General features: G+C 39.7%; 1 pseudogene; it reads right to left on the bottom strand.

Annotated features, from left to right (window-relative positions):
* LOC100996723 (uncharacterized) overlaps positions 1-9,930 on the bottom strand; it is a 123,106-nt pseudogene that overhangs the window by 792 nt on the left and 112,384 nt on the right.

The following is a 9,930-nucleotide window of genomic DNA, read 5'->3' as shown; positions in this document are numbered from 1 at the left end:
GGGAACTCCTCACCTCCTGCAGAAGCTGGATCTTATTCTCCAAGAGCTCATAAACATGCTCCGTCTCCTGCTGTCGCTCCTCAAACTGGCGTCGGAGCTCAGCTTCATTCTGACTGTTGAGATTCTCCACATCACCCCTAAAACCACAGAGCATTAGCCAATCAGAGCCAGACATGCAGTTTAGCCAGTGGAACCATTAAAGTTGTTCTTTGATAAATCTCCAAACTGCTTGCTGCAGTGACTGAACTGGTTTATATTTCCACCAACAGCGTGTAAGCATTCCCATTTCTATGCAGCCTCACCGGCATCTGTTGTTTTTAGACGTTTTAATAGTAGCCATTCTGACTGGTGTGAGATGGTATCTCATTGTGGTTTTGATTTATATTTCTCTGATGATTAGTGATGTGGAGCAATTTTTCATATATTTGGTGGGCATTTGTATGTCTTCTTTTGAAAAGTGTTTGATCATGCCTTTTGCTCATTTTTTTAACGGGGTTATTTGTTTTTCATTGTTCAATTGTTAAATTCCTTATGGATTCTGGATATTAGACCCTTTTCAGATGCTAGTTGCAAATTTTTTTAGATTCTAGAGGTTGTCTGTTTACTCTGTTGATAGTTTCTTTTGCTGTGCAAAACTCTTTAGTTTAAATAAATCCGACTTGTCTCTTTTTGTTTTTGTTGCAATTGCTTTTGAGGACTTAGTCATAAATTCCTGAGGCCAATGTCCAGAATGGTGTTTCTTGGGTTTTCTTCTAGGATTCTTATAGTTTGAGGTCTTACATTTACATCTTTACTCCATCTTGAGTTAATTTTTATATGTGCTGAAAGGTAGGGGCCCAGTTTCATTCTTTTGCATATGGCTAGCCAGTTATCTATCCCACCACCATCGAATAGGGGAGTGCTTTCCCCACTGCTTATTTTTGTTGATTTTGTCGAAGATCAGATTGCTGTAGGTGTGTAGCTTTATTTTTGGGTTCTCTATTTGCTTCCATTGGTCTATGTGTCTTTTTTTTTTTCCAGCAACATGCTGTTTTGGCAACTGTAGCCTTGTAGTATAGTTTGAAGTTGGATAGTGTGATGCCTCTGGCTTTGATCTTGGTCATTTGATGAATGACATTGGTAGTTTGATAGGAATAGTGTTGAATCTGTAGATTACCTTCGGCAATATGGCCATTTTAATGATATTGATTCTTCCAATCCATGAGCATGGAATGTTTTTCCATTTGTTTGTGTCATCTATGATTTCTTTAAGCAGTGTTTCGTAGTTCTCCTTGTAGAGATCTTTCACCTCCTTGGTTAGATGTATTCCAAGGTATTTTTTTTTTTAGCGGATATTGTAAATGGGATTGCATTCTTGATTTGGCTCTCAGCTTGAATGTTATTGGTGTGTAGAAATGCTACTGATTTTTTTTTTTTTTTGAGACGGAGTCTGGCTCTGTCGCCCAGGCTGGAGTGCAGTGGCATGATCTCGGCTCACTGCAAGCTCCGCCTCCCGGGTTCACGCCATTCTCCTGCCTCAGCCTCCCAAGTAGCTGGGACTACAGGCGACTGCCACCACACCCGGCTAATTTTTTTTTTCTATTTTTAGAAGAGACGGGGTTCACCGTGTTAGCCAGGATGGTCTCGATCTCCTGACCTCATGATCCACCCACCTCGGCCTCCCAAAGTGCTGGGATTACAGGCGTGAGCCACCGTGCCTGGTGAAATGCTACTGATTTTTGTACATTAATTTTTGTATTCTGAAACTTTATTGAAGTCTGAAAATATTTTTAATAATTTTAGTAATACTTGTCATTTAACACTAAGCTTTTAAAAAACTGTAAATTATAAAAGTAACCATTTTAGCAATATAAATGTATATAAAGAAAAATATCAAGTCTTCTCCCTATCACGGACTGTGATCTCACTCTTCCTCAGTATACTATAAATATCACTCAGCAACTTTTCCCCCTTACTTTAATCAAGGAATTCCCACTAGGACAATAATATAGAGCTAACTCATTCTTCAATAACTGCATAATAGTCCACAGTGTAGTAATACCAAAATTTATTCAATCAATTGAGTCTTGCCTTGGTCCACAGCCTCTCACCTCATCTCTGCCCTCTTTGTGACCCTTGACATAATTAGGGATTTAGTTGGATCAGCAATCTAGTCAAGGAAGAATAAGCTGTACAGCTTCAGGGTTTCCCCTGAGCTACTTATCAATTTTCCCAACCTATTTATCATTACCCCTGGATCATGAACACTGCTTAAGTCTATTCGTTCTCTAAACCATTGCAGGACAGAGTATATATTAAAATAAATTTTTCCTATCTAATACAGGTTGTTCCCGAAAACGAAATTGCTAGAATAATACTTTTAATAGAATTATAGTAATAGAACAATACTTTTAAATGCCTGGGGATTCAATTATTTAAAGAAATTTGGTTGTAAACATTTTTAAAAACAATGCTTTTATCATAAAATTGGAATTTTATAAATTAGGTTTGCTTAAGGTGAGAGGGGACTCTGATGGTAAAGTTATACAGGGAACAATTAATTTTTATTGAGGTGAGGATGCAACAAGTAAGATTTGGGGAAACAGAAATAAGGAAATAAAAACATCCCAAGTGTGTCTGGTGCAGGTTAAGTGGCTTAGTGTGTGGTAAGGAGTATAGAAAATAGTTTGCAACTAGTTTGTGAAAATCCTGCTAAGACAACTAGATAGGCCGGCCACAGTGGCTCACACCTATAGTCCCAGCACTTTGGGAGGCCAAGGCAGGCAGATCACTTGAGGTCAGGCTTTCGAGACCAGCCTAACCAACATGGTGAAACCTCATCTCTGCTAAAAATACAAAAATTAGCTGGGCGTGGTGACATGCGCCTGTAATCCCAGCTACTTGGGAGGCTGAAACAGGAGAATCGCTTGAACCCAGGAGGTGGAGGTTGCAGTCAGCCAAGATCATGCTGCTGCACTCCAGCCTGGGTGACAGAGAGAGACTCTGTCTCAAAATAAAAAAAATTAAAAAAGTAAAAAACTGGATAATAATCAGTAGAAATCAAAGACTTATCAGGGAGCTTTAAGCAAAGCATTGGCATGATCGGGTCCATGTTGAAGAAGGAATTATGAAGAAGGTGGGTGGGTCAGGGGCAACTAACCAGAATAGGGAGGGGGACTGTCTAAGGACAAGAGGTACAGGGAGAAAGACTCAAAAGACATTTCAGAGACAGAAGCCACAGGCCTTGATGACTTGTGAGATTCAGATTAGACTGGAGGGAGGACCAAAGACTGCTGAAATTTCCAGCATGTCAGTGGGAATGCATTCTATTAACTAAAATAGGGGCAGGTTTGTAGGGGAACCTAAGGAGGTTTCTGCAAAATGTTAATTGAGGGATTACTTTATTTCAGCTTAAACGTTAGCATGCAAAGATGGATTAGTCCCTTCCCTGATGAAGTCCATAATACAGTATTAGGCAAGAAGAATGTTATTTAGTAAAGAAGTCTTTAGATCAGAGGTTGACAGAGAGACTGAAGGTAAAGTAGCTAAAGTGTGAAAAGTAGTATTGTGGGTACTAGAACAGTAGGGAGGATTTTACTTTACTATCGCCATATAATAACCACCAACACCTAGACTTCTAGAAGTCCAAGGCAACACACAATAGCAGCATATTTTCTACCATACTTGTGAAGGCATTTCATAACCCATGTTTCCATGCAGGGTGGTTGAAACACAAATACTAATTGGGAAAAGTAGAAACCTGGTTTAGATATTTGAGAGTTACTTAGAATTAAAGAATTTTAGAGCTGGAAGGCAGTTGGACTCAAGGCATTTTAGATCATATTACTAGTACGTTTTTAGTGACATACTGAGAAGAATGTTTGTTCCCCTCATAAGTAGGTACCTTTTGACCAAGGTTAGAACATAGATTCAGATCCAGTGAGATGAAAATGTCCTAATTTCTTCAAAAGAAGGGAATGATAGCCCTGTCTTTTCAGGATATCCTTTAAAGTTATTATTTTATGAACACTAAATAGCATTACCAGATTTAGCAAATAAAAATATAAGATATCTACTTCAATTTAAATTTCAGATAAACAACAAATAATTTGTTTCATTAGAAGTATATCCTTTGCAATATTTGAGACATAACTTAAACGCTAAAACATTGTTTGTTGTTTATCTGAAATTTAAATTGAATTGAGTACCCTGTATTTTATTCTGCAATACAAATACCAAAAGATTAACAAATGGAAACACGCATATTTCAATTTTGTATGAAGAACAAGTCTAAGATCTCTATATCAGTTCCATGGCCTGGCACTGCAAGAATAATTCATCTGTACCAATTGATGAATCAGTAAAATAGAAGATTTGCTAAACAGTTGCTATGTCCCCAGCTTTGTGGTCAATACTTAAAGGAATTCAAATGTCTTCATAAAAAATGGTCCCTAAGCTACTGGCCCTTCATAGAGGTGAAGGAATATGCATTCAATTATGTGGGAAATGCAAAGAGGGAGCAATTTCCTAATCTGTAATAGGCAGATAATTGTATTTTCCTCATTCATAAACCTACTGAGAGGATCGTGAGGCATAAATAAATCAATACATGTAAAGGACTTAGGACAGTGTTTCTAACACAGGTATAACTATAATTTTAATTATAATAATATTATTATCACCATCATCATCAAGAACAACAGCATTATCATTTGGAACAGCAGTTTGCTTTCCATGAGACCATAATGTTTCAAGTGGATTCAGTGTTCAGGATATGGTGCTGAGAAAGAGGACTCCTAAGTTTATTATTATTTCTGCCACCAATTGATTCACTTCTGTGACCTTGGGTAAAATTCTGCTAAGGCTTCTCCACCTGGAAAATGACAAAGACTGGGCAAAAAGCTATTTAAATCTCATATGAAAGAAAATGGAATCTATAATTATGAAGTGTTATTATCAATGATATTCCTATGCCTGGCTAATTTATATAAATCAGAAAAGTCTGGATATGCTAAACCACCTCAGATAAGCCAAAACTGCTTGAGCAGATTTTTTAAAAATCTCATATCTAAAAATACGTGAGGTCTCAAATGACTGGAGCTATATGGATGTCCTCTGCCTAGTTCTTAGTCTCATGATGTGACATAGGGAATCTCTATCAGGTATAAACTGATCAACAGAAAGTTCCCTGAAAAGTCCCTTACTATTAATACTATTTTTGCATGAGGAATCTTTGAATATTCAAATAAAAATAAACAAACAACAGGGAAAGTGAGAGGCACTATGAAACCAACCTAAAGCCAGAAAGAATTAGGTTCAAATCCTGGCTCTATCACTTTCCTGCTAGGTGACCTTGGGCAGGTTAACTAATCACTATGAGCCTCAGTTTTCTTATAAGTATAGTGTGGTTGCTTTGCTTTTTAATGAAGATAAGTATTCACGAGGGATTCTGTGAGGATTGAATGAGACAATGTGCATGATAAGCATAGAACAATGCCTTGCACACAGCTGTGCAACAACCTTGATTCACTTTCCCTTCATGTCCAGGCTAACTAGTGCCAGTCAGAGACCTCAGCCTTACCAGGAAAAATACTTAGATCTAAAAGGAAGAAAAACAGAGGACATAAATTAGTACGTTCTATCTGTTCTAAATCCTACTGAAGAAAATGAAGTCAATGCTTTGACCAATTTGCCCAAAGATTCACAGATTTGAAGACCTCAGCATTTCTGTGTTCTAGTTCTCTTAGTTTAAAGACAAGGAAATTGAAATCCAGAAGGGTTACCTCCAAGGTAAAAGCCGTAACTGAAACCAACACTCCACTCTTGCTTTAGCCTTTTATCAGAGAGACCAGCTTAGCAAACACTGCCCAGTTTTGTCTGATTTTGTAGAATGTGGTAAATTATAGAATTAGAGAATGTGCTGCATTTAGTCTTGAAAGAATATATGGAGGCAGTAAGTATAGTGGTCAAGAGCATAGGCTCTGAAGGCGAGAAGGGGGCTTGACAAGTCACCTGCCCTCTCTAAGAGCCTCATTCACCTCATCTATCAAGGAGATAACAATGATACCAATCTACAAAGGATGTTAGGGAGACTAAATGAAATTATGCACAAAAATCACATCGCACAGTGCCTGGCATGCAGTCAGTATTCAGAAAATGATAACTATTATTAACTATAAAAACAATAACAATTTACCCTCTCTAACTAGGATGGCTGAAATCCAGAAGGGTTTTCAAGGTAAAAGCAATAATCTTACATCAAAGTCTAACCTTCTTGCACCTTCTTTCTGTAGAAAAATCATCATATAGCTTATCACATTTATTCATTCTCCATTACTAAATATTCATGTGTAAATTGTTAAATTCTTTTATAGCATCAGTAGATTCCAAATTAACTGCATTTGCTTATTTTATCACCAAGTCTTCTTGGCTCTTTGTCAAGATATCTAAGGAAATTTATGTACTCAAGAAAGGGGAGATGGGAAGAAAGCACTTCTCTTTCTTCATGCCTCCAAAGGAGTGTTCGCCCATCTAACTCAAGAAAAAGTTTCAATGATGAAGCTGAAATTAAACTTCTATTAGGTATTTCTTCCTTCTCCCCAGGACTGGAGTACATGAATAGTCTCATATCTGGTTTCCCCAACCTCAGTCCCTCTACTACTTAAATTTTCCCTAAAGCATAGCTCTGGTTATTTCATTCCGTCTGTCCAAAAAGCATTTAATATGTGATGCAGGTCCAGCTAAAGAAGAAAAAGGAAAGAAAGAAAAAACCTTTTAACGATTTTTAACTGTACAGCGATTAAATTATACACAACTGGCCTGATAATAGAGTCTATTCAAAATTTGACCTCAATCTACCTATCCAGCTTTATCTTCCATTATTATCTGCTAGCCTAACTGGATTTCCCAAACATGCCCTATGCTTCTTGGTGCCACATCATTGTGTGCCCTTCAGCTTCATGGTTAAATGCTACGTCCCCTGTGAAGCCTTACTTTATCTCTCCAAATTAAAAGTAATTTCTCATGATGACATTATGAGCTTTCAAATATTCTTTTCATACTGCAACATTGGCATCCTGTGTAAATGCTTCATATTTCTACACCTGTCTTATTTACCCTTTTAAATTGCAAACTCCCTAAGGACAGAGGAAATGATGGTGTGGCAGAACTACCCAGGTGCGCTGGTTATTAAGATACTGCCTCTCAGCGTTGTCATGCTGGGGCAGGAATTTCAGGATAAGTAAACCTAGGTTCACATACCTTTCTGCCACTTCCTAACTGGGGGACCTTTTTTGTGTAAATTACTTCAACTTTTACAACCTAATTTCCTCATTTATAAAATAGGGGTTGCAAAAATTACCTCAAAGTTTGTAGTGAGGAATAAATGAATTTATGTAAAGTACCCAGCACAATGTCTGATACAAATAACCGCAGCTCGGGCGCGGTGGCTCACGCCTGTAATCCCAGCACTTCGGGAGGCCGAGGCGGGCGGATCACGAGGTCGGGAGATCGAGACCATCCTGCTTAACACGGTGAAACCCCGTCTCTACTAAAAATACAAAAAAAATTAGCCGAGCGTGGTGGCAGGTGCCTGTAGTTCCAGCTACTCGGAGGCTGAGGCAGGAGAATGGCGTGAACCCGGAGGCGGAGCTTGCAGTGAGCCGAGATCGCGCCACTGCACTCCAGCCTGGGCGACAGAGTAAGACTCCGTCTCAAAAACAACAACAACAAAAACAAATAACCGACAGCTGTGACTAATCTGAGGTCCTCGCAGTGTCTCTCACCTCTTGGTGCAGTAAAAGCATTGAAAGAGTGAACCAACAAGAGAACAAAGAAGGAATAGATGACAAGAGGCGGAAGTGGACTAACAATGATATGTTTGTTGAATGAGTGAGAAGGTAATAGATAATGCTGTGAGATTATGTGGAAAACTTTTTATCTGAAGTCTTTAAAAGACATTCTCACTTTTGGCTGGGCGCGGGGGCTCACACCTGTAATTCCAGCACTTTGGGAGGCTGAGGTGGGCGGATCACTTGAGGTCAGGAGTTCCAGACCAGCCTGGACAAACTGGTGAAACGCTGTCTCTACTAAAAATACAAAAATTAGCCAGGCGTGGTGGTGGGTGCCTGTAATCCCAGCTACTCGGGAGGCTAAGGCAGGATAATCGCTTGAACCCAGGAGGCAGAGGTTGCAGTGGGCCGAGATTGTGCCACTGTACTCCAGCCGGGGTGACAGAGCGAAACTCCATCTCGAAAAAATAAAAAATGTACTCCAGCTGGGGTGACAGAGAGAAACTCCACCTCAAAAAAATAAAAAATAAGGGCTGGGCACGGTGGCTCACGCCTGTAATCTCAGCACTTTAGGAGGCTGAGGCAGGCGGATCACAAGGTCAGGAAATGAGACCATCCTGGCTAACACGGTGAAACCCCGTCTCTACTAAAAATACAAAAAATTAGCCGGGTGTGGTGGCGGGCACCTGTAGTCCCAGCTACTCGGGAGGCTGAGGCAGGAGAACGGTGTGAACCCAGGAGTCGGAGCTTGCAATGCGCTGAGATCGCGCCACTGCACTCCAGCCCGGGTGACAGAGCGAGACTCCATCTCAAATAAGTAGATAAATAAAGACTTTCTCAGGTTTTTGTTTTGTTTTTGTTTTTTTGACAGTCTTGCTCTGTCGCCCAGGCTGGAGTACAGTGGCGCAATCTCGGCTCACTGCAAGCTCTGCCTCCTGGGTTCATGCCATTCTCCTGCCTCAGTCTCCGAGTAGCTGGGACTACAGGCGCCTGCCACCACGCCCGGATAATTTTTTTGTATTTTTTGTAGAGACAGGGTTTCACCGTGTTAGGCAGGATGGTCTCGATCTCCTGACCTCGTGATCCGCCCGCCTCGGCCTCCCAAAGTGTTGGGATTACAGGCGTGAGCCACCGCGCCTGGCTGACTTTTTCAGTTTTAAGCTAAGAATATTCTCTAATAGGTATATTATTGACCCATTGACAATAGAAGATTGAATACACTTTAGGATTCCAGCCTCCTCTTCTACTGCTCATGCTCTCCGTAAGAAAGGCTAAACATCCTACTCCTGTGCACTACATTGGAGCTCAGAAATACTGACTTAAAATCTCCAGATCTTAACACGGACTTTTAAAGGGAAGATTGAGTATGGACCCAGTATTAGATGGTATTATGGAATTATTTTTAAGCTTTTTGGGTACAATAATAGTATTGTGGTTATGTTTAAAAACAAAGCCTTCTCTGTGAGAGTTATATTCTGATATCTTCCCAAATAAAATTATATGATGTCAGAGAGTTGCTGTAAGGGGTGGAAGAGGACAAGATGGAGAACGAACAGTGCAGGGAGATCACTGAAAAGAACAGCAAAATGTTGGGAACCGTTAAAGCTGAGTGATGGGAACATGGCTCCCTGGTAAATGGGACACATACATCGGGAGGTACTATTTTCGTAGTCTTTGTTTATATTTGAAAATTTTCAAACTTACATAATGAGAAGTCAAAAGGGGCATTTTCATCCCAAAAAGGCAAATGTCCATATTCTTTTTTATTTTTTCATTTTCATTTCTGGAATTACCTAAACTCAGGTTATAGATAGCAATGAAAATTCGGCTCCCTGTGGCAGCTTCTTTCAGCCACCAGACTTACATAGACTCAGTGGTGCAGAGTCCGTTTCCCAATACTGAGGGATAAAGAAAATTAAACCTGCCTCTAGGCACGTCTCAAACTTGGGAGACTCAGAATACAACAGAGTATGGGATATAGGGAGGAAAGAAGAGATGCAGAAATAAATTAAAAACAAGATTTGTTTAAAGAGGAACTGCAACTTCTTTAATTGGGCAGATTGAACCAATAAAAGCACAGTTCTCTCCCTTCACCTCTTATCCTTTAGTCTCTTCAACTTTCACATTGCTTCACTCACTCTCTTCCTCTCCCTTTCACCTG

This window comes from Homo sapiens, chromosome 1, assembly GCF_000001405.40.
Source record: "Homo sapiens chromosome 1, GRCh38.p14 Primary Assembly".
Classification (NCBI taxonomy): Eukaryota; Metazoa; Chordata; class Mammalia; order Primates; family Hominidae; genus Homo; species Homo sapiens.
Note: the sequence above shows the minus strand (reverse complement) of the source record. Positions and strands in the feature narration are given on the sequence as shown.